Source organism: Homo sapiens, chromosome 10 (assembly GCF_000001405.40).
Source record: "Homo sapiens chromosome 10, GRCh38.p14 Primary Assembly".
NCBI classification, from domain to species: Eukaryota; Metazoa; Chordata; class Mammalia; order Primates; family Hominidae; genus Homo; species Homo sapiens.
Window position 1 is genome coordinate 32,452,354 of NC_000010.11, and position 26,935 is coordinate 32,479,288.

At 35.6% G+C, this 26,935-nt stretch overlaps 1 protein-coding gene across 43 annotated transcripts in view; it reads left to right on the forward strand.

Moving 5' to 3' along the window:
* CCDC7 (coiled-coil domain containing 7) overlaps window positions 1-26,935 on the forward strand; it is a 439,541-nt gene that overhangs the window by 9,030 nt on the left and 403,576 nt on the right. For 34 of the 43 annotated variants that reach the window (NR_109826.2, XM_047425743.1, XM_047425742.1 and 31 more), the window contains exons 3-9: window positions 991-1,083; window positions 3,898-3,981; window positions 10,330-10,350; window positions 10,664-10,696; window positions 18,711-18,877; window positions 20,128-20,189; window positions 21,614-21,670. Coding sequence is in view for 39 of the 43 variants with exons in the window: in XM_047425743.1 (XP_047281699.1) it covers window positions 991-1,083; window positions 3,898-3,981; window positions 10,330-10,350; window positions 10,664-10,696; window positions 18,711-18,877; window positions 20,128-20,189; window positions 21,614-21,670 (517 nt within the window). In the remaining 4 variants the exon portion in view is untranslated. Of the gene's footprint in view, window positions 1-990; window positions 1,084-3,897; window positions 3,982-10,329; window positions 10,351-10,663; window positions 10,697-17,067; window positions 17,395-18,710; window positions 18,878-20,127; window positions 20,190-21,613; window positions 21,671-26,935 lie in introns of those variants that run through there. The other 9 variants (XM_017016643.1, XM_047425747.1, NR_109827.2 and 6 more) reach the window with 8 other exon arrangements.

Consider the following 26,935-nt stretch of genomic DNA (forward strand, 5'->3'; position numbering starts at 1 on the left):
CTGAAATCCAGGATCTCAGATGCCAGGTTAAGGCCAACCTTGCAAGCAGGCCTTCCTAAGTCCTGCATTTCTACTATGTTAAACTCTGCATTTCAGAAACTTTAGCTCTTTTTTCGTTTCTTGAGATGAAGTCTCGCTCTTTCGCCCAGGCTGGAGTGCCGTGGCATGATCTTGGCTCACTGCAAATTCTGCCTCCAGGTTTCAAGCAATTTTCCTGTCTCAGTCTCCCGAGTAGCTGGGACTACAGGAGCATGCCACCATGCCTGGCTAATTTTTGTACTTTTAGTAGAGATGGGGTTTCACCATACTGGTCAGGCTGGTCTTAAACTCTTGACCTCAGGTGATCCACCCGCCTTGGCCTCCCAAAGTGCTGGGATTACAGGCATGAGCACCATGCCTGGCTGAAACTTTAGCTCTTGATGTGGGGAAAAAATTTCCTTTCTCTGAGTTTCTATTTTTTTCACTGCAATCCAGAATTGAATTGTAAATGTACCAAATAACAATGAGGAAGAGCACAAATATAAAAAAATATATAGTACATCAAACTTGTACAGTACAAGTTTGTTGAAAGTTTGAGGGGTTAGGCCAGATAATTTTCTTTAAAAATTCATTGCTTTCTGGTCTCCATCTTTCTATTTCCCCTAACTCTCTTCAGAGGAGAAAGTCAAGGCAGACTTTGAGGAAAACTCTACTTAATGCTTCAACCACTCATGGACAGGCCCTCTCCGTTTTAAGATAGCTATCAACACAGAAATGGTAGAGTCATAGAGCATCTCTCTATTGCTAGGGAGTAGGGTTAAGGAATATTGCTTTCTCCTCATGATGACATGAAATTGGGTATGGGATGAAAAATTTAAGTTTATGGCACTGGAAGAAATAAGTCTTACTGGTAAAAAGGTCCTGGCATAATTGATTAAATATTATTTACATTTAATATAATTAATTTTAAACTATTAAAGTATCTAATTGGCTTTTATTTTTTTTTTACAGGTTGTTTCCACTTTGGAAGAAACCTATGGACATTGCGATCAGAATGGAGAAGAACCATTTGTAAAGCATGAACATGAAGAATTATCTTTATCTGTAAGTATATGCAACCCTAATATAGAGACATTAACACTGAAAAGGGTCGATTTTCTTTTTAAAAATATAAATTTAAAATATTTTCTTTTGGAGTACTTATTATATCCTCAGAATGAATTTCCCATCCATGAAAATGATCCTCTTAGAAAATTACTCAACCCAACCAAATCCCTCTTGACCTGAATTTTGCCAAGAAGTTTGCAGAAAAGGAGTTCTACATACCCATTAGGAATGACCAACATTTTAAAGATAGAGAATAATCACATTTTAGTAAAGATATGGGGCCACAGGAACTCTCATACAGAGCTGGTGGGAACACAAATGGTACTGCTATGTTGAGAAACAGTTTGACAGCTGCTCACAAAGTTTAACATATACTTAAAAGATAACCACCAATTCCACTCTTAAGTGGTTATCCAAGATTAATGAACACATACATCCTCACAAAGTCTTGTATATAAATGTTTATAGAAGTTTCGTTCGTAACTGCCAGAATAGCTACTGAATCCAGCAACCCAAATATTTACTAACTGGTGAATGGATAAGCAAATTGTGGTATAGCATACAATGAAATACTCTTCACAATAAAGGGAACAAACTACTGACACATAGAACAATGTAGATGAATCTCAAAAACATTAGGATGTGGGGAAGCTAAATAAATAAGGCTACATATCATATGATTCTATTTATATGAAATTCTGGGAAAGGGAAAACTGTAGTAAAGGACCAGTGTTTGTCTTGAGCTAAGGTAGGAGGGGAGAATTGACTGCAAAGGAGTACAGTGAAGCTTTTTGAAATGATGGAAATGTTTTATATTTTTATTGTGGTGGTGATTACCCAACTATTAAAAGGACTATGTAATCACAATCCTTATCCTGCATGACCTTGTGGTTATTATGTTTTGAAGCCCTGCCAGGAATGAATCAAAGAACCAAAACTAAAATCTGAAATTGAAGTCCAATAGAAACTGGGATGACTAGAGGTGGGAGGGAGGCGGGGTAAGGGTTGAAAAACTAGCTATCGGGTACTGTGCTCAGTACTTGGGTGACGGGATCATTGGTACCCCAAACCTCAGCATCACGCAGTATATCCAGGTAACAAACCTGCACATGTACCCACTAAATCTAAAACAAAAGTTAAAAAAAAAACCACCAAAAAAATAAAATAAAATGAAATTAAGTTCACTTTCCTGTGGTCTCCAATACTGACAAAATTGAAGAAATCAGCCCTTCGGATATCCCCTTTATTTTACTGAATTTCTTTCCTCCAATGATCTTGTATTTTATTTCACATCAACCACTAATGGACAAAGTGATATCCTGTAGTCCTTACCATAACTGTTTCATAATTTGAATTTCAGTCATCCTAATCTGTGGCCACCACCTCCTGTCTTTCCCACTCAGTCTGTCCAATATTCTGTCTCCAAAAATCCTTTGATTTCACAGGGAAACATAATCCATTGGTCTTGCTGCCTTTTTAGTGTCCGAAATCCTCCTTGTGCCCTTACTTACCCAGCTTAAATAGCATGGTCCACTATTATCATCACTCCCTTTCACACGTACTTAACTCTCTTGCCCTGTTCTGCTTTATTGGTCTCATTTGGTTACATTATAAACTTGGTCAAATCAATTTCTATCTTCTCTGTATTTCTCTATCTTCTCTATATTTGTGGCACCTGAATGTGGGTGGAAGAAGTAGGCTAATAGTTTCTCTTTATATTTGTGATTAGTAACACTAATCTGTTCATTTTCCTCTCTGCTGGATGATTTAGTTTTTTTTCCCCGTCTCCTATATGATTATAGGTCTTTATTGTGACAAGAAGTATGTGAGCCTCTCAGCATATTTATTTATTTATTTATTTATTTATTTATTTTATTTTATTTTTATTTTTTTGAGACAGAGTCTCGCTGTGTCACCTAGGCTGGAGTGCAGTGGTGTGATCTTGGCTCACTGGAACTGCTGCCTCCTGGATTCAAGCGCTTTTCGTGCCTCAGCCACCCACGTAGCTGGGATTACCGGTGTGCGGCGCCTCGCCCAGCTAATTTTTTTGTCTTTTTAGTAGAGACGGGATTTTGCCATGCTGGCCAGGCTGGTCTTGAACTCCTGACCTCAAGTGATCCAACTGCCTCAGCCTCCCAAAGTGCTAGGATTACAGGTGTGAGCCACCGCGCCTGGCTCAGTATCTTTAAATGTAATGCTCAGGGAATATATTCTTCATGGAGAACCACTCTATGAAAATCCTAACTGTATATAAGCCTGTAATATTTGTTTATCATGAGTCAATTCTCTGATTTACGAATCACTGCTTTACTAGAAGGGATTTGATCGTTATGACATTTAAGCTGTAACTATTTTTTCCTCAAAGTTGTGTATTGCCCATTAGGTGAGAGCAGAAGACTGCAGTTCATGGCAATTATACAGTTAGGTATCATAGGTAGTAGTCATTTTCTAACACCAAGAGATTTTTTTTTTTATGGTAATGATTACCTTTTATTGGGCCACCCAGAAATTTCAGTACTATGAGGCTGGGATGCTGGATTTTCTGGAACTGTGTAGAGATGAATGAGAGGAGAGACATGGCTGGGTATATGTCACTGATGGGCCACTTCCCAAAGTGTACTTTCTTTCATATTTTTTCTTTGGGAGAATTTGCTAGTATGGCATTTGAAGCATGGCTTCTTGCTGTAAATGTTTGAAGGGACATAAATTACACAAAATTAAAATTTTTCAAAAAGTAAATATGCTAGAAAAAGACAGACATGCATATGGATTCTTAAATGTAACTTTATGTTTTATTATTCTTTTCAAAAGGTTGGGGATGATATGAATTCATTCTTGACATATTGTTCGCAATTTGCAGCTCAGCTAGAAGAAGCACTTAAAGAAGAACAAAATGTATGTATTCTGTATATACTGTCAAGTATAAAATATCAAACTTGTACTGGTTGTTGAAAATTGAATCTGCTATCCAGTCAGCCAACATTAATCTAGATTCAGTGTCTTAAGAAATTATAAATGGCATTGGAAAACATTATTTATTTATTTTTTATTCTTTTTTTTTAATCATCATCAAGGGTTTTTACTATGCCCAAATGCAAAGATTATGCCACTGAACCACCACAAATAAGACATGAACTTTGAATTAATTCTTCAATAGTTGTGTGAATCTTAATGAATCTGCCATATTCCCTCATTAAGAGCATGTAAGTAGTTACAAGGTAGTTAATAAATAGTAAGGTTGTGGCAATCAGCATCAAAGAGAGAATGATTGGCCATTACAGAGAATGACCACACAATCATGGTTTAGTACCATAAGCCTTATCAATTAGCTATGAGTAAAATGTAAGACTACAGTGGAATTGTTGCAATTGTCTTTTTTTTCATATAATAGAATACACTTAATTTATTGCTTTTTCTGGCAATAGTATTTAAATTGGCATGTAATAATTATACATATTTATGGGGTACATAGCGATATTTTGATACATACAATGGGTAGTGGTCAAATCAGAGTAATTAGCATATTCATCACGTCAAACACCTAGCATTTCCTTGTGGTGGGAACATTCAAAATATATAAAATATATATATATATAATAAACCGTTGTTAGCTGTGGTCACCCTATAGTGCTGTAGAACACTATAACTTATTTCTCCTATCTAGCTGTAATTTTTTATCGTTTAACCAACCTCTCCCTATCCTCCCTCACCCCTACCCTTTCCAACCTCTAGTAATCATGATTCTACTCTCTGCTTCTATGAGATCAGCTTGTTTTAGCATTTGCATATTGGCAAGAACATGAAATATTTATCTTTCTGTTCCTGACTTATTTCTCTTCATATAATATCCTATAGGGCTTTCCATGTTGCTGTGAATGACAGGATTTAATTCTTTTTTGGAATTAAGAGTGAAATCTTTTTTGGAACTGAAAGTGGCTGAATAGTAGTCCATTCCCCCTATATGCCACATTTTCTTTATTCATTTGTCTATTGATGGACATTTAGGTTGATTATATATATTGGCGATTGCAGTTTAGTGCTGCAATAAACATGGAAGTACAGATGTCTCTTCAGTGTACTGATTTCCTTTCCTGTGGATATACACCCAGTAGTGGAATTGCTGGATCATATGGTAGTTCTATTGGTAGTTTTTTGAGGAGACTCCATGCTATTTTTCATTATCATTCTACTAGTTTAAATTTCCACCAAAAGTGTATATATGTTCCCTTTTCTCTGCATCCTTGTCAGTATTTATTATCTTTTTTCTTTTTGATAATAGCCATTCTAACTGAGGTGAGATGATATCTCATTGTGGTTTTGATTTACATTTCCCTGATGATTAGTGATGATGAGCATTTTTTTCATATACTTTTTAGCCATTTGTGTATCTTTCTTTTGAGAAATATTCAAGCCATTTACCTATTTTAAAATCAGTTTTTTTTTGCCATTGAGTTGTCTGAGTTCCTTATATATTTTGAATATTAATCACTTGTTAGATGAATTTTTTTTTGCAAATATCTTTTTTCATTCTGAAGATTGTCTTTTCACTCTGTTGGTTGTTTCCTTTGCTGTGCAGAAGCTTTTTAGTTTGATATAATACCACTTGTCTGTTTTTGCTTGTGTTGCCTATGCTTTTGAGGTCCTATGCATAAAATATTTTCTCAGACCAATGTCCTGAAGCATTTCCTCTATGTTTCCTTCCAGTAGTTTCATAGTTTTGGGTTTTACATTAAAGGCTTTAAGCTGTTTTTGAGCTGATTTTTGCATATGGTGAGATTTTGGGGTCTAGTTTCATTCTTCTGCCTATGGATATCCAGTTTTCCCAGCACCATTTATTGAAAAGACTGTCTTTTTCCCAATGTTCTTGGTGCTTTTGTTGAAAATTTGTTGGCTATAAATAAGTGGATTTATTTTTTGGGTTCTCTATTGGGTTCCATTGGTCTGTGTGTCTGTTTTTGTGCCAGTACCATGCTGTTGTGGCTACTATAGCTTTGAAGAGTATGTTGTGTGTGTGTTTGCATGTGTGTGTGTGTGTGTGTGTGCTTTTTTTTTTTTTTTTAAAGAGACAAGGTCTCACTTTGTTGGCCAGGCTGGAGTGCAGTGGCACAATCATAGCTCACTGCAGCCTCGAACTCCTGGGCTTGAGGGATCCTCTTGCCTCAGCTTCCCAAGCTGCTGGGATTACAGGCATGAACCATGATGCCTGGCTAACTTTGTAGTATATTTTGAAGTCAGATAGTGTGTTGCCTCCAGCTTTCTTCTTTTTGCTTAGGATTGCTTTGGCTACTTAGGGTCTTTTGTGGTTCCACATGAATTTTTAGGATTTGTTTTCTATTTCTGTAAAGAATGTCATGGTATTAATAATTAATATTGTTAAAATGACCATACTACTCAAAGCTATCTGCAGATTCAGTGAAATCCCTGTCAAAATGATACTGGGCTTAAGCCCAGTATTAATATTAATTCTTCTAATCCACAAACATAGGATGTCTTTTGTTTTTTTGTGTGTGTCTTCTTTAATTTCTTTCATCAGTATTTTATAATTTTCATTGTAGAGACCTTTCACCTCCTTGGTTAAATTTATTTCTAGGTATCTTATATATTATTTTGTAGCTATTATAAATGGGATTGGTCTCTTGATTTCTTTTTTTCAGCTAGTATATAAACATGCCACTGATTTTTATATGTTGATTTTATATTTTGCAGCTTTACTGAATTTATTCATTAATTCTAAGAAGTTTTTGGGTGGAGTCTTCTATGTATATGATATGTATATAATCATGTTGTCTGCAAACAGGGACACTTTTGAGGCCCTCCACTTAGTTGCTTTTCTTCCCTAGGAGAGTTCTGAGTTAGGTGAAACTAACTCAGTTTAGTGTGAACCTCTAGAGAGCTCAAAAGTGGGAACCTCTAGAGAGCTCAAAAGTGGGAACCTCTAGAGAGCTCAAAACAGTAACACAATTTCTTGGGAATATGTCTGCTATGCTCTCTCCAGAACCACTCAAAATGAGGGTTGCTGTTTTTAAGACTGCTACTGTGCTCAAGGAAGGGGTGGGGCAAGACCGAGTTAAAATACCACACAGTTCTCTTGTGGTGTTCAAGCCACATTTTATTGATGTGGCATTGCTTGGTTGCTTTAAATCTTTAACTGTTTTTCAGAGTTCTAACAAAATTGGAGCATAAGCCTTTGGACTTCCCTGCTGCACATTTTTTTTTTTTTTTTTTTTTTTTTTTGCTGTTAGCACTCTTCAAATACCCTAATAGTTTTTTTCCTTGATACAAATTTACAATTGACTTTGAATTTTATATGTATAGCATTTCAGTAGACCAAGAATAACCAAGTGAGTCCTGAAGAAAATGAACAAGGCCAAAGGACCTACCCTAACAGATATCAAGATTCATTATGCAGCTATATCAATTATGATTATGTGCTTTTGGTGCAAGCCTGGATGAACTGATGAAATTGAACAAAGTCTCAGATATTGACCCTTTTATATATGGAAAATTTTGTTGATGACAGAGCCAGCAGTATAATAAATGGCTTTGGGACAACTGGTTATTTATAAAGGAAAAAACTAATTTGATATATGATCAAATATGATACTGATGATGTAAGTATATGACCTGGAGCAAGAAACAATCACAAAACAAATACAAATCATAAAAGGCAATATTGATAAATTCACCTATATTAAATTTATAAGCTCTGTATATAAATAATTCATAAAGAGAGGGGCAAGAGAAATTTCAAACAGGGGCAAAATTTGGATCATGTATACCTGACGTATATGTGTATTTAATCACATGAAGGATTATCTAGATTATATAGATAATGTCTACTTATCAGTAAGTAAATGATTAAACAAATCATTACAAAATAAAAAGGCATTTCACAGTGGATCAGTTTTTATTTTTCACTCATTTTTATCAACAATGATCTAGATTTAGCAGTATCAGTAATTGATGCTGTGGGTTTCCTCAGTAATTGAGAAAGGCACTGTTCTCGTTAAACTAGGAGTGGTTTAAATTATTGTAGAACTATGGCTACAATGAGTGGTTGAATTGATATACGCTAAAGTTTCCCATCAGGTTCCAGTGCAGGAAGGGAAGTTTTGAGAACCCCGGAATCTTTCTTGACAGTGGAAAGAATTAGTTATTCCTAGGTATAATGTGCTTTAGTGGACATTATTTCTAAACACTTACGTAGCTGAAAATATTTTTCTTCTGACACAGACATTAATTTGCTTTGGTATATTTTCTGAAGGATCTCAGCACTTTTTGCGTAGATTTATGCTTTCTTATTTAGCTTAGTGATTCTCAGACTTTAGCATGCAAAGCAATCACCTGCAGGTCTAGTTACAACACAAATTGTTAGTCCCACTTCTAGAATTTCTGATTTAGTAGGGTAGCGTGGGGCCTGAGAATTTTCAGTACTAATAAGTATGCTTGTAGGTGGTGCTGATGCTGTTGCTGTGGCTCCTTACTTTTTGAACCACAGATCTAGAGTTAGTGTTGCGGAAGATAAATTTAATTTATCTAGTTTAATTTTTGTTCAATCTTATGTTACTCCCTGAATGCACGTAGTAACATTTTACTTTAATAATGTAATTGAAAACTTTTACCCAATTTGATAGGGTGGGGTTTTTGTTTTTGTAGCAAATGTAATCACTTTAACATTAGATATTTAAATGGTAAATACTGATATTTTGAACTGTGTATGGATGCTCCTCAACTTATGAGGGAGTTACATACTGATAAACCCATCATAAGTTGAATTTTTCATATGGTGAAAGTGCATTTAATACACCTGACCTACCAAACATTGTAACTTAGCCTACCCTACCTTAAATGTGCTGAGAACACTGGACATTAGCCTGCAGTTGGGCAAAATCATCTAACACAAAACCTATTTTATAAGGAAGTGTTGAATAGCTCATGAAACTTATTGAATACTGTACTGAAAGTGAAAAACAGAATGGTTGTAGGTGTATGTGGAGTTCAGTTTCTATTGGTTTTTGTATATTTAGTCAGTTTCTCTTGTAATTTCTCAAACAAGTAATTTGCATTTTTCATTAAAAATATTAAGTAGTATTATATTTTATATCTTGATTTTCTAGACCGTTTAGCAGGAACAGAGTTGTATTGAGAAGATAGTGTTGGGAAGGTGATGCTTTTTGTTATTGTACTTGCTGCTGTATGAAAAAAATATAATGCTCCTCTGAAAGGAATTTAAATTTTATTCCTTACATATATGTGTGTGTGTGTGTGTGTATATATATATATATATATATGTATATATATATATATATATACATATATATATATGCACATATGTACATTTTTTTTTTTAAGATGGAGTTTCGCTCTTGTTGCCCAGGCTGGAGTGCAATGGCGTGATCTCGGCTCACCGCAACCTCCGCCTCCCGGGTTCAAGTGATTCTTCTGCCTCAGCCTCCTGAATAGCTGGGATTACAGGCATGCACCACCACACCTGGCTAATTTTTGTATTTTTAGTAGAGACGGGGTTTCTCCATGTTGGTCAGGCTGGTCTTGAACTCTCGACTTCAGGTGATCCACCTGCCTTGGCCTCCCAAAGTGCTGGGATTACAGGCATGAGCCACCCCACCCAGCCTCCTTACCTATATTAAGAAAATATATGAAATAAATTTGGGAATTGTTTGGGGGCCACCTAATATAGATATATTAGGGCCAGGCATGATGGCTCATGCTCAGTGTTTTGGGAGACTGACATGGGAGGATTGCTTGTGGCCAGGAGTTCGAGACCAGCCTGGGCAACATGGCCAAACTCCATCCCTATTAAAAACAAAATTAAAAATTAGCCAGGCATGGGGGTGTGCCCATGTAGTCCTAGCTACTCAGGAGGCTGAGGCAAGAGGATCACTTGAGCCCAGGAGTTCAACGTTATAGTGAGCTATGAGTGCACCGCTGCACTCAAGCCTGGGTGACAGTGAGATTCTGTCTCTCTTTCCCTCTTTCTCCCTTTTTATATATAAAAAGAAAAATTATTTTTAAATTCTAGAAAGAAGTTGTCTATGCAAGGTGAACTAAAAGCACTGTCTGTAAATAAAAAATTTTAAGTTTCAACTACAGATTTATAAAGTTATATTTTAATACTTAGTACATTTTTGTGATTGAAAATTGCAAAAGACTGAACTAAATATTATATTATACATTGTGAAGCATTCTAATTTTAAATGTGTTAATTAAAACTTTATTTTTCAGATTTTGGAATCTCTTTTTAAGGTACGTTCAATATATTACAGCTTAAGCCTACTAAAACTTAACACAGAAATACATGCCAATGAAGAAGAGGTTTCTAAATTTTAAGGGAGTAGAAGGAATTCCATACTTGCTGCTCTATATATTTAAGAATTTTATGTTCATTTGTATAGTGCATTAGCCCCATTCTGAATCCCAAGTGATGTTTCGGTCAGGGCTGATATTTGATGGATGAAGATTCAGAGACACAGACACACATTTATATAGATATTTATTTCATCAGTGCAATTTAAGTAGTCACTATTTCTTTTTTTGTCCCTCTTTTGTTTTCTTAAAGTGGTTTCAGTGGCAGGTCAATCAGATGGAAGAAGTAAGTCTAACGTTTTAAAATTGTTAAGTTAATATTTTTTAACTCATTTGAAAAGCAATTTGGATTATGTATAAGTTAAGTATGTATAAGTCATTTTTGAATAACTGTTGGTTATAAAGTAACCTTTTGGTTTGGGTAGACAAGGAATAAGTGGATGGGATAAAATATTTCTCAGTGACCTACACCCTATATCCCTGCATATATCTGGTATACTCCAAGTTTGACTGACACATTTTTTTTCCTAAAATTGAATAATGGAAACTAAGTTATTATTTTTTCCAATTTACATAAAAGGGTGATGAGAGAACCTTTCACTTTAAATATTTCTACCATATTTTAAAAAATCATGCTAAATGATTATGTATGTGTAGACATAAAATTATGTATTGATTTTCTATAGATGAAATATGTTATTTTAATGATGTTCTTTTACACTTTTGATTCAGGCACTTTGCCATTAGTTTGAGAACTACTGGTCTCTGTCCTTAGGGGCTTTTAATTCTACTTTGGAAAATACTTTATATATGCTGTCAGTATATTAGAATGATTTCCAGGGTAGCTTTACTGATTTACAGTATTATTTTAGTTCTCATTTGGTCACACTTATGGTTCAGTCCAATTAAACACTCTTGAAGCCCAGGCTTTTCAAAGAAAAGAGGCCAGTTTATTTGGGGGTATTTAAAGGATAAATATAGATAGAACCTTAAATGCATGAACTGTGACTATATCCTAGCATCTTCTCATTGTTTTTATCTCTGGTCCCAGAACAGAAGACTTTCATGGTCTATATGCTGTTTGCTTTAGGATACATTTGACTGACATTGGAAAAGTGTTAGTCATTCTTTGATTATGGCATAGAGGTCATTATCCTTCCAGAGAAGTAGGGGTAGAGTGAAGTCTACTATTCCTCTACCCTCTTTTAAAATGTGTTCTTCTTTGCAACTTTGGAAATTCATCTTGTCATCTTCTTTTCATCCATCAACCTCTTTTTATTATTTTATTAATGGGTTTACTTTTACTCTTCTTTTGCACTCAGTCCTGTCAATGTACATGACCTATCCAAAACCCTGGCTTCTCACTTTCTTGACTTCCTCATCTCCAAAGATCTCTTGGCCTCCACTTCCAGTCACACTCTGGAACTTGTCATTAACTAAATTACTTTTTAAAAATTACTAATTTAGGCAACTTATTCTTGAACTGTAAATTTCTGTTTTTCCAATTATTACTTTAAATACTGCTCTGGCCACCAAACACTTGGAATGCTCTAAATACAAGCTGTTGGTTGGAACTCCTTCAATTCCTGCTACCTAACACAATATTAACGTCTGTACTCATTTTCTCTTTCTTTTTTCCTGTTAAGACAGATATATTGTTCTTTCTTATACATATGACTAATTATTTCACTTCTGTTTTGGATTTCATATCCTCTTGCCTTCTCAAGACTTTGTGTTTGTTTGTTTGTTTGTTTGTGTTTTTGAGAACTTGATCTCATTCTGGTTGCCCTGGCTGGACTGCAGTGATTTGATCTCGGCTCACTGAAGCCTTGACCTCCCGGGCTCAGGTGATTCTCCAACCTTAGCCTCTCAAGTAGCTGGGACCACGGGCATGAGCCACCATGCCTGGCTAATTGGTATTTTTTTTAGTAGAGATGGGGTTTTGCCATGTTGCCCAGGCTAGTCTTGAACTCCTGGATTCATGCAATTCCCTTGCCTCCGCCTCCCAAAGTGCTGGGATTACAGGCGTGAGCCACTGTGCCCTGCCGTGCCCTCTCAAGAACTTTGATTAATTATTCTCTCTTGTATATTCAGTTTCTCTCATTCAATTTATCCTTCTTTTCAGTTTTTAAATATGCTCTTCTATCTCTTATTTGATCCACATTCCTCTCTAAAGGCCTATTTCCATGTCCTTTATTAGCCTGTTTTTAAAAAAATTATTTTGTATGCAAATTTACTCATATTAGGGAAACAATCATTAGATTATTATCAGGGTGTAAAGGCAAAACTGGTTTATAAGTGAGTAGGAGAAAAATAGAGTAGACAGTCTTTGAACAATGAAACTAGTTTTTTTTTTTTTTAAAGTATTCAACGAATAAACTGGCACCTAGTGAAAAGATTAATCTGGGCACTCTTTCCTTGTAAGAGACAACTAAGGTTATTAAGTAAAACAGTTAGAGTTGTTAATGGATTTCCTATAATAACCCTTAAGAGTTTAGCCATGGAGCATGTGTCACCCATTCAGAGCCACATTTATTTTTATATTCATTTACTATACACTATGCTCTTACTTCCCAAACATTTCTCAATCTATCCAGACTGAATTCTGTCTCCCTAACAAGTAAAACATTCTCTCCATATGGTTCCCAGTAAGTTGTATGTTGTTAAATTAAACAGACTTTTTTTTTTTTTTTTGCCTCAGCTATAGTTAATATTATTGATCGTGCCCTCATTTTTGAAACACTAGTCCTTTGGCTTCTGTGAATTACATTTTCCTGGCTATTGTTTTACCTCTTTGGCTGTCTTCTTTTTAGAGTCCCCTCCTAAACCCAACCAGTAAATGTTGGAGTACCTCAAAGTTTTATCCTATGCCTTTTTTCTTTTTACTCCAAACTTTCTCCCTAGGCAGTCTCATCCAGTTTTTCCATTCAAGTATTACCTTTATGCATGTAATTTAGAAACATAAACCTCTTGCTCAAAATGTTTCCCTGAACTCCAGGCTTTGTATATAATTACTTACTAGACTATTCCACCTCAGATGCAATGGGTCAGAAATATGAATTTTTACTCCTAAACTCATATCTCTTCTAGTGTTCCCTATCTTAGTGAATGAGTACTATTTATCAAATTGGGTAAATGTGAAATGTGGAAACCATTCCTGACAACTCACTTCCATCTATTCCTGATATTTAATCTATCCACAAGTCCTCTGGGTTTTACTTTCTAAATAACTGTCAGATGTGTCCACTTTTCTCTGTGTCTACACCTTATTGTTGGTTACTATCATATCCATTTTGCCTGAAATCCCAACCAGTGCATTCATAATCACCAGGAGGAATCCCCACTGCACAGTATACTTCTGATCTGGAATTTCAAGTTTTTCAATGTTTAAACCCATAATTACTTATCTTTAATATTTTATTAATTTGGTGTACCAGATATATGATCTAAAGGTTTGTATTATGTACTGTTTTTCAAGGAGTGTTTCTCTCTCTTTTTTTTTTTTTTTTGTAAACTTTTATTTTAAGTTCAGGGGTACATGTATAGGTTTGTTATTTACGTAAACTCATGTCACAGATATTTGTTGTACAGATTATTTCATCACCCACATATTAAGCCCAGTACCCAACAGTTATCTTTTCTGCTCCTCTCCTTCCTCCCAACCTCCACCCTCATGTAGACCCCAGTGTCTATTGTTTCCTTCTTTGTGTTCATGAGTTCTCATCATTTAGCTCCCACTTATAAGTGAGAACATGCAGTATTTGGTTTTACGTTCCTGTGCTAGTTTGATAAGGATAATGGCCTCCAGCTCCATCCATGTTCCTGCAAAAGACATGATCTCATTCATTTATATGGCTGAATAGTATTCCATGGTATATATGTACCACGTTTTCTTTATCCAGTCAACCACTGATGGACATTTAGGCCAATTCCATGTCTTTGCTATTGTGAATAGTGTTGCAGTGAACATACACATGTACGTGTCTTTATGATAGGATGATTTATTTTCCCTTGGGTATATACCCAGTAATGGGATTGCTGGGTCAAATGGTAGTTCTGTTTTTAGATATTTGAGGAATCATCACACTGTTTTCCACAGCAGGCAACTAATTTATACTCCCACCAACAATGTATAAGCATTTTTTTCTCCACAACTTTGCCAGCATCTTTTATTTTTTGTTTTTACATTTTAATAATAGTCATTCTGACTGGTATGAGGTGGTATCTCATTGTGGTTTGATTTGCATTTCTCTAATGATCAGTGATGTTGAGCTTTTTTTCATATGATTGTTGGCCCCGTGTATGTCTTCTTTTGAAAAGCGTCGTTCATGTCCTTTGTCCACTTTTTTTTTTTTTTGAGACAGAGTCTTGCTCCCTCGCCAGGCTGGAGTGCAGTGACACAATCTCCGCTCACTGCAACCTCTGCCTCCTGGGTTCAAGCAATTGTCCTGCCTCAGCCTCACAAGTAGCTGGGACTACAGGTGTATGCCACCATGCCCGGCTAATTTTTTTTTTTTTTTTGTATTTTAGTAGAGACGGGGTTTCACCATGTTGTCCAGGCTGGTCTCGAACTCCTGATCTCAGGCAATCTGCCCGCCTCAGCCTCCCAAAGTGCTAGGATTACAGGCGTGAGCCACTGCGCCCGGCCTTGTCCACTGTTTAATGGTGTTGTTTGTTTGTGTCTTATAAATATGCTTAAGTTTCTTATAGATGTTGGATATTAGACCTTTGTCAGGTGAATGGTTTGCAAATGTTTTCTCCCAATTTCTAGGTTGCCTGTTTACTCTGTTGGTAGTTTTTTTTGCTGCACAGAAGCTCTTAAGTTTAATTGGATCCTATTTGTTAATTTTTGCTTTTGTTGCAATTGCTTTTGGCATCTTCATGGAGTCTTTGCCCATTCCTATGTCCAGAATGGTATTGCCTAGGTTGTCTTCCAGAATTTTTATAGTTTTGGGTTTTACATTTAAGTCTTTTATTCATCTTGAGTTAATTTTTGTACATGGTGTAAGCAATGAGTCCCGTTTAAATCTTCGGCACTTGGTTAACCAGTTATCCCAGCCTCATTTATTGAATAGGGAGTCCTTTCTTCATTGTTTGCTTTTGTCAGGTTTGTCGAAGATCAGATAGTTGTAGGTGTGCAGCCTTATTTCTGGCTTCTCTATTCTGTTCCATTGCTCTATGTGTCTGGTTTTGTGCCAGTACCGTGCTATTTTGGTTACTGTAGCCCTGTAGTATAGTTTGAAGTCGGGTAGTGTGATGCCTCCAGATTTGTTCTTTTTGCTTTGGATTGCTTTGGCTCTTTGGGCTCTTTTTTGGTTCCAATATGAGCTTAAAATAGATTTTTTCTAGGTCTGTGAAGAATTTCATTGTTAGTTTGATAGGAATATCATTGGATTTATAAATTGCTTTGGAAAGTATTGCCATTTTAACCATATTGATTCTTTCTATCCATGCACATGGAATGTTTTTCCATTTGTTTGTGTCATTTCTGATTTCTTTGAGCAGTGTTTTGTAGTTCCCCTTGTAGAGATTGTTCACCTCCCTGGTTAGCTGTATTCCTAGGTATTCTTTTTGTGGCAATTGTGAATGGGATTGCATTCCTGATTTGGCTCTTGGCTCGACTGTTGTTGATGTATAGGAATGCTAGTGATTTTTGTACATTGACTTTGTATCTTGAGACTTCGCTGAGGCTGTTTATCAGCTGAAGGAACTTTTGGGCCAAGACTTTGGGGTTTTCTAGATATAGGATTATGTTGTCTATAAATGGGAATAGTTTGACTTCCACTCTTCCTATTTGGATGCCTTTATTTCTTTCTCTTGTCTGATAGCTCTGACCAGGACTTCCAATACTGTGTTGAATAGGAGTGCTGGGAGAGGGCACCTCAAGGAATGTTTCTTAAAGTGTAGTTGATAGAACACGTTTAAATGTCAGCCAAGATACCTGTTATAAGTGCACATTACTGGATTAGATTTCTTTTGTGAGTCTCTGAGTTAGGAGTCTACTGCTTCAACAGGTAGGAAACAAGGGATTCTTATGCACACTAACATTTGAGAATCTTGTGATAATCTTTTTACTGCTGACATAATTTATTGTTAGTACATGCTGGTAAGGTTAATGTCAGTGATCATTTTGCATTACATGTTGCATTAACAGAGATACATGTGGAAACTATTAGAGAATATGGTGAGCTACACCAGAGAAATGTAGGCTGAACCTACAGTAGCCTGTACACTTCAGAATTGTCTTGCTGGAATCTGTGCCCCAAAGATCTTTCTGAAGAAACCGTTTAGCTGATAACCCACTATCTATTCCATACTCTTTTAGTTCTGTGCCTTTATCTTTTTTCCCAGAAAGGACTTCTGTTAAAATTTAATCTGTATTGGGAAATGTGATGTATCGAGAGTCTAATCAAGGGACAAAAACCACACAGTAATTTGGTTAGGGAAAGTTTAATATAAAGAATTATTGTAACAGAGGAATATCTACTAAAGGATATTGATAGACATTCTACTAAAGGAGTAAAGATAATTCTAATGAATACAGGAGTAGAAGATAGAGGGAACAACTTCAACTCCTAGGATGGAATCAGAATATGAATATCCCCAATCATTCCCTCCCAGCAACGCAGGGCTAAGATGCAGAACTTCTGAAGAGGGAGCAGCTTTCATCACTACATGGCAGAGAAGTCTGCTGGGCTGCAAGGCTGGTGGAGCTCGAACTCACTGGGAAGGTGTCCATGAGGGTGGTACACTTAGGAATCTGCCCTCTGTGATGCTAGGAAAAGCCACCTTCCAGAGAGGTGTTGTACTTCCTGCTGGGAAGCTGTTCACAAGGGTGATATGTTGGAAAACTTCCCTAAGGGAGGCTCTGCACTGGTGGATTTTGCTACGAAGTTCTGGGGGAAGCTGCCCATAGGAATCTGCCATGCCAGGGACCTTACCAGGAAGCCATCCATCAGGTGATGCTGTTGAAATTTTCTGGGGGTGAGTACTATAAAATATACTACACACTACCTGAGGAAGAAGCAGAGAGAGATACACAGAACTAGGAAGAAAATCTTCTTCCTCTTCTAGTGCCTCTTCAGGACCCTCTACTGAAAAAGGCTAACATCAGGCCACCTGTCAGGGAAGAAATATTCCACTATCACAGACAAGACAATGAAGAATAGATTTTTGAGATGAGATGCAGTAAATTGATGACATTATTTTTGACTCAATTTATGATTTGCGGCTTCTTATTTGGAATATTTTCTTTGTCTATAGAATTTCCTTAGGTCTCCTGCTTCTCTTCCACCTATTCTGTGTTCCTTGCCATATCTTCCCTATACCCAAGCTCAGACTTCTAGTGCATTGCCCAGCATTCACTTCTGCTGTTATATCCTACTCTCATTCCAGTCATTACAAAAATGAAGTCTCTGTTCTAAATCCCCAGTGCTAGAATTTATCTTTGCGAAGTCCTTGACTTCATTTTTTCCCCAACTTTTCCTCCTAGCATAAGGATTGGAGATGTCTACATGGGTGGATCTCTGAATTTAGGGCAAGCAATTATTTTAACATTACTCTTGTGCCATTTTCCTATCAAAACTTGCTGACCCCAATTGCTATTCTGCTTGTTTATGTCTCCACACATTGGCTGTTTGTAGGTTTCTTTTGCTGTGGTTTTTGGACACTCATTCTTGCTGAATTTTCTTTAAGTAAACTTATTACCTAGAATAGTAATTATGGTCATCTTATTCTGTGAATCTTGCTGTTTCTTTCCACGGCTTGTTATTTTTTAGCTTGATCTATTCCAAAGGTCTCAAGACAGCCAAATATGTCACAGTCTTCCCCATGCAGACTGGAAAAATGCTAGTTCCATAGATCTTTATATTTTAACTTCTGGGAGTTAGTAATAGACAGTATTAGCCTTTGAGAGAAAATTACTGTCTTTAGATAATTTACTACAGTAAGGGTATTCTTAAAAAGAATTTATGGGAAACAATTTAGAATGACTCTTGTAAATATTTTGAGTTGCATTTATTGTTATTGGACTTGCTTAAAATTCCTATATATTAAAGCAATAAACAGACAGTTAGATTTCAGGCTTTACATGTAAAAGCCATCACTGAGCTATAGTTCTATTCATAGATAATTGCTCATATAAATATATTTGTAAAATATTGTATCATTACTTGGCTATAGCTATAGATAAGAAAAATATAAAAATTACTTTGATTTAATAAAGGAGATAATGAAATTTATTTGAGGTATGGGAACAAAATGGGTATTTACTAAATAACTGGTTAATTTTATTATTTTAGATAAGTAAAGATCAAACTCTTTTACAAGCAGAGCCTCCAAAACCTGACAAAACAGTCATTTTAAATATTGCAGAAATAGTAAGGCTTGTACAAAGATTTGAAGAACTGAAGAATCGCCTTAAACAGAGGTCTAAATCCTCCGTGAAAGTCATGTTGTCTAAAACTATGTAAGTGAAATATAAGAACTAATTGAATTAAAAACAGTAAGAAAGGGTATATAATTAGCACTGAATGTAAGATAATGGGTCAGATATGATGGCTATACACAGAGCTTCTTAGTCAAATCAGGTCTAGTCAGCTTGTTTCTATTTGCAATTTTAAATAATCTGAGATGTACAATACAGGAGACATTTGCTGCATGTGGCTATGCAAATTCAATGTAGAAAATCAGTTTCTTAGTCACACTAGCCGCATTTAAAGTGCTTAGTACCTACATGTGGCTGTTATTAGAAAGTTATATTGGACATTGCTAGCTTTGAAATATCTGGCTTATAAACTCTTCTCTCAGTTTGATTAGGAAACTCCTAGTAATAAATAGGAAACTAAGATCTAATGAAATACTTCATTGTTCATGAACACCTTCATTAATTATATTAACAGCTTATCAAGTAAAATTTTTACATTTATAAGCAACCATGTTTTTGCATTAGACAGATAAAACATTCTTTTTTTGTGTTAAAATAGAATATACATACCCATAGTTGGGAGGGGCCACTAGTTATGCAGTTACTTTAGTGATATCTCTGTCAATAACTGAAAATAATGAAGAGAGTGGTACTTGAGTTGGCTCCTGGGGGTTGCATAAGTAGATCCTTGGTTCAAAGATTAAGGTTTAGACCATATTCATACTTGACATTTAAGTGTCTGCTGTGTACTAGCGATTTTTGTAGTAACTTTACATGTATAATCTTTGATTTTCATAACTACTTTATGAGAAAGGTACTATTATACCCCAATTTTAATGAGAATAAACTGAAGCCAATAGAGGTTAAGTAATATACCTGGCTGAGGTCATATAATTAGTAAATGGATGAAACAGGTTTTGACCCAAAGGTCAGGTAGTCTCACTCCGGAACTTATGTCCTTCATCATTATACGATTGATAATAATACTTCGACAAAAAGATACCTCATGTTTCTAACAATTTATTTTTGCTGTTTTTGTTGTGAATGTTTTTGGTATACTTAATTATATTCATGGCCTACATGGAATTCATATAATTACATAGTTTAGTTTGACTTTTCAACTTGTAACTTGTAAGTTTACCTTAGTGTCTGTGAGTAAAGATTAAAGATATGTTTAATTTTTATTCTACAAACTTCATATGTCTGGACTTCACATTTTAGTTATTTTAGTGTAATTTAAACTCTTACTCTTTGATATATTAAAAAATATTTCATTTATCGAACTTTAACAGGGATAAAGAAAATCGACCAGAAGCAGTGAAAAGTTGTGAAGCTCTGGCACAGAAAATTGAAGGTGATAATATTTTATATATGTTTATCCTTAAAAATTTTATTAAAAATTTTGTTATTATTTTTATCTTTTAAAGAGAGGGTCTCACTCTGTCACCCATGCTGGAGTGTAGTGGCATGAATATCGCTCACTGCAGCCTCAAACTCTTGGGCTCAAGTGATCCTCTCTGCTCAGCCTTTTGAGGTAGCTAGGACCACAGGCACAGGCCACTGAGGCCAGCTGATTTTTTTTTTTTTGTACAGATGGAGGTCTCACTATGTCGCCCAGGCTGGTCTTGAACTTCTGGCCTCAAGTGATCCTCCCACCTCGGGCTCCTAAAATGTTGGGATTACAGGCATGAGCCGCCATGCCCGGCATGTTTGACTTTTGTGGGGTTTCCTAAGTGTATGAACATTTTGAGACTTAAAGTTAAAAATTTACAGTTATAAAATTATACAATGGTAAATTTAGATAATACTTAATAGTGAGTTTGATATTTTAATAAAAGTTTTTATTATGTTCCAAATTCTGGGAACATACAAAATGAATACAATGTGTATCCCCTATACAGACAACAATGTGGTTGTTACTTCCATAAAATTTACAGCTTAGTAAGGATACAAGTACATTATCTAGCATGTTAGTACAGTGTCATGCATGATAAAGGTATGTGGAATTTGCATTGGGTCCACAGAAAGGAGCAATCTGTTCAACCTAAGGAGTTAGAAGGCTTTATGCAACTTTAAAGGGTGAATAGGATTTAGTCAAGTAAAGAAGGGAAATATTTGGTATTTTAAGAAGACAATAGCATGAACAAACAACATGCATAGAGAATTACAACTGGATTGGTATTAGAGTAAGAAGCAATATATAGGGATGAAGTAACAGAGGGCCTAGTCATAGTGGGAATGGATGCTCTGCTAAGGAGCTTAGACTTTTTTCAAAAATAATAATCATTGAAGATTTTTTGTAGGATTTAATTTTAGAGAAGTTTTTTCCTGATTGCACTGTAGAAGCTAGATTTGGGGACTAGGAGTAGGAAAGGGAAGTTATTATACCTTAGATGTGTGATCAGTACCTATATTCAGAGACTAGTGAAAAGAAGAAGGGAGTCAGGTTTGAGAAATATTTACTTGAAAGTTGATGATTGGATATGGAAGGAAGGAAGACTAGATAATGATGGTACCATCAATGAATATAAGAGAATACAAGAGCAAAAACAAGTTTTGATGAGAAAGTGATGTTTATAATCAGCTGTTACACACATTCTTTTAAATATTACCATTTCTTACCTGATTAGGAAGATCTGCAGTGTTGGCAGTTATTATTTTTTCAAAGTTTTCTTTCTTCTGAATAAGTTACTAAAATTAAAACAATAAAATTTAAACTCAATTAGTATATATAATTGCCGTTTGAAGTTTATAGTGACAAATACACTTTTACTTCAGAATTCTTAGAAGCCCACTCAACTGATGAATTTAAAGATGTTTCTGCAACAGAACCACGTAAGTTTCCACTCATTAAAGCATTATTGTGATAATAACCTCTGTTACATTAATTTCTATAAAGTAATAATTATTAGGTTAACAGTGCAGACTCCTTGCCTTGGAGTTTGGAGCCATATAGTTGAGCTGGTTGTCAAGCAAGTATTGAAATTCTTAGTTAAGGATACGTGTTACTGAAACTAGATTCTTTTTTTTTTTTTTTTTTTTTTTTTTTTTTGGAGACAGAGTCTTGCTCTGTTGCCCAGGCTGGAGTGCAGTGGCATGATCTCAGCTCACTGCAACCTCTGCCTCCTGGGTTCAAGTGATTCTCGTCCCTCAGCCTCCCAAGTAGCTGGGATTACAGGCATGCACCACCACACCCAGCTAACTTTTGTATTTTTTTTTCTTTTTTTTTTAGTAGAGAGAGTTTCACCATGTTGGCCAGGCTGGTCTTGAACTCCTGACCTCAGGTAATCTGCCTGCCTTGGCCTCCCAAAGTGCTGGGATTACAGGCGTGAGCCACTGCGCCCGGCCTAGATTAATTTTTGAGGAGTGCATGTTAGTACATGGAATGGAGAATTTTGAGTTGTGATTAGAACGTACTACTGAAATGTTGGCAGGCCTTTGAGGTGTGGCAGTGATAAATTTAAATAGTTTGTAGATTTTGTTACTAGGAATTATATCCACAAATGCTTTGACTGCAGATGAGTAGTTGTCAGTTCAGGAATATAAAGAACTGCTAGAGCTTGTATGTTAAGTTTATGACTATTTGTCAATAGAAAGGAAATTAACTTACTTGTGTCTTAGGGCTGGAGAGAATTTTGAAATAATAGTGTAAAGCACACTATGGAATACAGTTCAAAAGTAGAAAATAATATTTGCTTGGAACAGGTTGCTGGGAATTCTGCCCTCTTTCAACTTCAGCTTTAAACCCAAACGTTGCCATGTTTAAACCAAGGACAGCTGCACATCTTACAGCACTCCCAAGTTCTATAGAGATTTCTGGTTGAAGAGAGCTCTGACTGACTAGGTGGGGTAGAAAGGTATATAGAACTTAGGAGTAGATAGTGAAAACCTCTGTATACATCGAGGGGAATCCTTTGTACATCTATGGACCTCTCAAGAGCTCTCTCTTTTTCTCTCTCTCAATCTGTATGGTTGCCTTCCTTCTAATATTGTACCTTGGCTTCCACAAACACTGAACTTTGTTTCCTAAACTCAAGGTGACCAGTATGCTCTGAGTTCCCCTTCCCTACACTGTGGACTGGCAATTCTAGACAGCAAACTGGGGTCATCACAGGGCCTTTCCACTTTATTTCCATATGTACTGCATTCACTGTTTTCCAATTTCTGAATACCACTGTTTCATGTATTTTTGTCCAGTATTTAAGTGGTTTAAAGTAGAAAAGTAATTCTGGTCCCTGATGCTCCATCATGGATGAAAGCAGAAATCCCTGTACCCACTTATAGTCTAATGGAATACATCTTCCAATCATAAAACCACATTTCAAAAGGATAAAATATAGTTGAGATTTTGCTCATGGTTCTAAAGGGGAACAGAGGACAGAATTATATTGTACAATATGGAGAAAATGCTTTGCAAATTCGTAAGATCTTTTTTCAGTGGCAGTTGTTTCAGGTTCTTAGCTTTACTAGTATTGACCTACTGTCTTTCTCTGTTGCTGTATTTCACTTGTTTACCATAATTTTCTTTTAAAAGTACCTCCTGTCTTCTTCTCTGGCCACACTTAATCCTCTCTTCCCTTCCTGTTTTCTAAATTCTATTAAATCTTATAGCCTGGCCAGCAAGACAAAAGCTACCTTTGTATTGCACTCTGGTTTTGCTTTCAGGTCACAATTTCATCTTGATGTTGCTTCATTTAATAATTAATAGACTATTTTTTAGAGAAGTTTTAGGTTCACAGAAAAATTGAACAGAAATTACAGAGCTCCCATTAGTGCAGTCCCCCCATTCCCGCATAAAGCTTCCCCTGTTATTAACATTTTGCATTAATGTGATACATTTGTTATGGTTGATGAACCAATTTTGATACATTATTATTAACTAAAGTCCATAGTTTACATCTGGTTTGCTTTTTGCCTTGTACAGCTCAGTGGGTTTTGACAAATGTATCATGTCTTGGATCCACCATTACAGTGTCACAGAATAGTTTAATTGCCCCCAAAATCCCCTGTGTCCCACCTATTCACCTCTTCCTCCATCCACCTGAATCCCTGGAAACCACTAATCTGTTTATTTACTGTTTCTGTAGTATTTCCTTTTCAAGAATGTTGTATATTTGATATTATTAGTCTTTCTTTTACCTAACAATGTACAGTTAAAGTTCCTCTGTGTTTCAATAGTTTGTCAAAGTTTCAATAGTTTGACAGTTTATTTCTTTTTAATTGCTGATAAATAATCAATTTATGGATTTACTACAATTTATCCATTTACCTATGAAAGGGCATCTTGGTTGTTTCCACGTTTTGGCAATTATAAATAAAGCTACTATCAACACTTTTGTTCAGGTTTTTGTGTGGATGTAAGTTTTCAGCTCAATTGGGTAAACACAAAGGAGCATGACTGCTAAGTCATATAATAAGAGTTGTTTAGCATTATAAGAAACTGCCAAATAAGCGTGCAAAGGGGCTGTACCATTTTGCATTCCCCCCTGCAATTGAGGAGAATTCTTGTTGCTCCATATCTTTGTCAGCATTTAGAATTGACAGTGTTTGGGCTTTTAGCCATTCTAATAGTTGTGTAGTGATTTTTCATTGTTTTCATTTGCAGTTCCATGATTATACATGATGTTGAGCATGTTTTCATAAGCTTATTTGCCATCTGTTTCATTTCTTTGGTGAGGTATTCAGGTCTTTTACCCATTTTAAAAATTGGGTTATTCGTTTTCTTATTGTTGAGTTTTAAGAGTTCTTTTTATATTTTGGATACAAGCCTTGTATCAGATATGTATTTGGCAAAGATATTCTCTCAGTCTGTGGCTTATCTTTTCATTCTTTTAGCAGTGTCTTTTGCAGAGCCAGAATAAAGTCAAACTTAACATTTTTTTTTTATTTCACGAATTGTGCTTTAGGTGTTGTGTGTAAAAATTCATCTTCAAACCCAAAGTTACCTAGATAGTCTCTTCTACTGCCTTGTAAAAGTTTTATAGTTTTGCATTTTACATTTATAACTATGATCCATTTTGAGTTAATTTTTTTTTTTTTGAGATGGAGTCTCGCTCTGTCGCTGGAGTACAATGGTGCAATCTCGACCCACTGCAACCTCCGCCTCCCTGTTCAAGTGATTCTCCTGCCTCAGCCTCCCTAGCAGCTGGGACCACAGGCGTGCGCCACCACGCCCGGCTAATTTTTGCATTTTTAGTAGAGATGGGGTTTCACCATGTTGGTCAGGCTGGTCTCGAACTCCTGAACTCGTGATCCGCCTGCCTCAGCCTCCCAAAGTACTGGGATTACAGGCGTGAGCCACTGCGCCCAGCCCATTTTGAGTTAATTTTTGTGAGAACTGTAAAGTCTATGTCTAGAGTCATTGTTTTTTTTTTTTTGCATTTGGATGTCCAGTTGTTTCAGCATCATTTGTTGAGAAGAGTACTATTTCTTCATTGAGTTGCCTTTGTTCCTTTGCCAAAGATCAGTTGCGTATATTTGTGAGTCTGTTTTTGGACTCTTTATTCTGTTTGCTTGTCTGTCTATTTTGGCAGTGCTACATGTCTTGATTACTTTAGCTTTTAGTAAGTATTGAAGTTGGGTAGTGTCAGTCCTCCAACTTTGTTGTTCTTCAACATTGTGTTGACTTCTCTGGGTCTATTAAACTTTATAAACTTTAGAAACAATTTGTTGGTATCCAAAAAATACCTTGCTGGGATTTTGATTGAGATTGCATTGAATCTATGGATTAAATGGACAAGAACTTGTATCTTAACAATATTGTATCTTTCATTCTATGAACTTGAAATATCTCTCCATTTATTTAGATCTTATTTGCTTTCTTTCATCAGAGTAATGAACTTTTCCTCATATAGATCTCGTACATATTTTCTTTTAGATTTACACTGAAGTGTTGAAATTTCAGTGCTACTATAAATGGTGTTAATATCTATAATTTAAAATTCAAATACAAATGCTTCATTGCTGGTATATAGGAAAGCAATTGCAATTAACTTTTGTGTCCTGTAAATTTGCAATAATTGTTTATTACTAGATATTGGTGATTCTTTGGGATATTCTATAGAGACAGTCACATTATCTAACAGACAGTGTTACTTCTTCCTTCTGATTTTCTTTTCTTATATTATTGCATTAGCTAGGACTTCCAGTATGATGTTAAATAGCATGGTAAAAATGGGCATGCTTGCCTTCTTCCTGATCTTAGGGAGGAAGCATTTAGGATTTCACTGTAAGTATGATGTTAGCTATAAACTTTCTGTAGATTTTCTTTATCAAACTGAGGAAGCTTACTTCTATTTTATTTATAATTTACAAAGAGTTTTTTAAAATTATGAGTAGGTGTTAGATTTTGTCAAATACGTTTTCTGCATTTATTGATATGATCATATGATTTTTCTTCTTTAGCATGTAGATTACATTAATTGATTTTTGAATATTGGACTAGCCTTACGTACCTGGAATAACCCATTTGGTTGTGTTGTATAGTTCTTTCTATACATTTATGTATGTGATTTGCTAATGTTTTGTTGAGGATTTTCACATATGTATTCATGAAAGATATTCATCTGTAGTTTTCTTTTCTTGTAATGTCTTTGTCCGGCTTTGGTATTGGAGTGATACTGGCCTCATAGAATGAGTCAGGAAATGTTCTCTGTGTTTCTGTCTTCTGGAAGAGATCATAAAGAATTGGCATAATTTCTTAGTTAAATTTTGGTAGAATTTGCCAAGTGAAACCATCTGAGCATAGTACCTGCTGTTTTGGAAGGTTATTAATTATTGATTCAATTTCTTTTAAATAGGCCTATTCATAATATCAATTTCTCCTTTGTGAGTTTTGGTAGATTGTGAGTTTCCAAGAATTTGTCCATATAATCTAAATTATCAAATTTGTTAGCATAAGTTATTTATAGTATTTGTTTATTGTCCCTTTATGTCCATGTGGTCGGTAGGGATGGTCCCTCTTTCTTTTTTTGCAAATAGAAATAATTTTATTTCTTGCATTCGTATTTGGACACCTTTTATTTCTTTTCTTGCTTAATTGCTCTAGCTAGGAATTCCAGCACTATGTTGAATAGAAGTGGCAAGAATGGGCATCTTTAT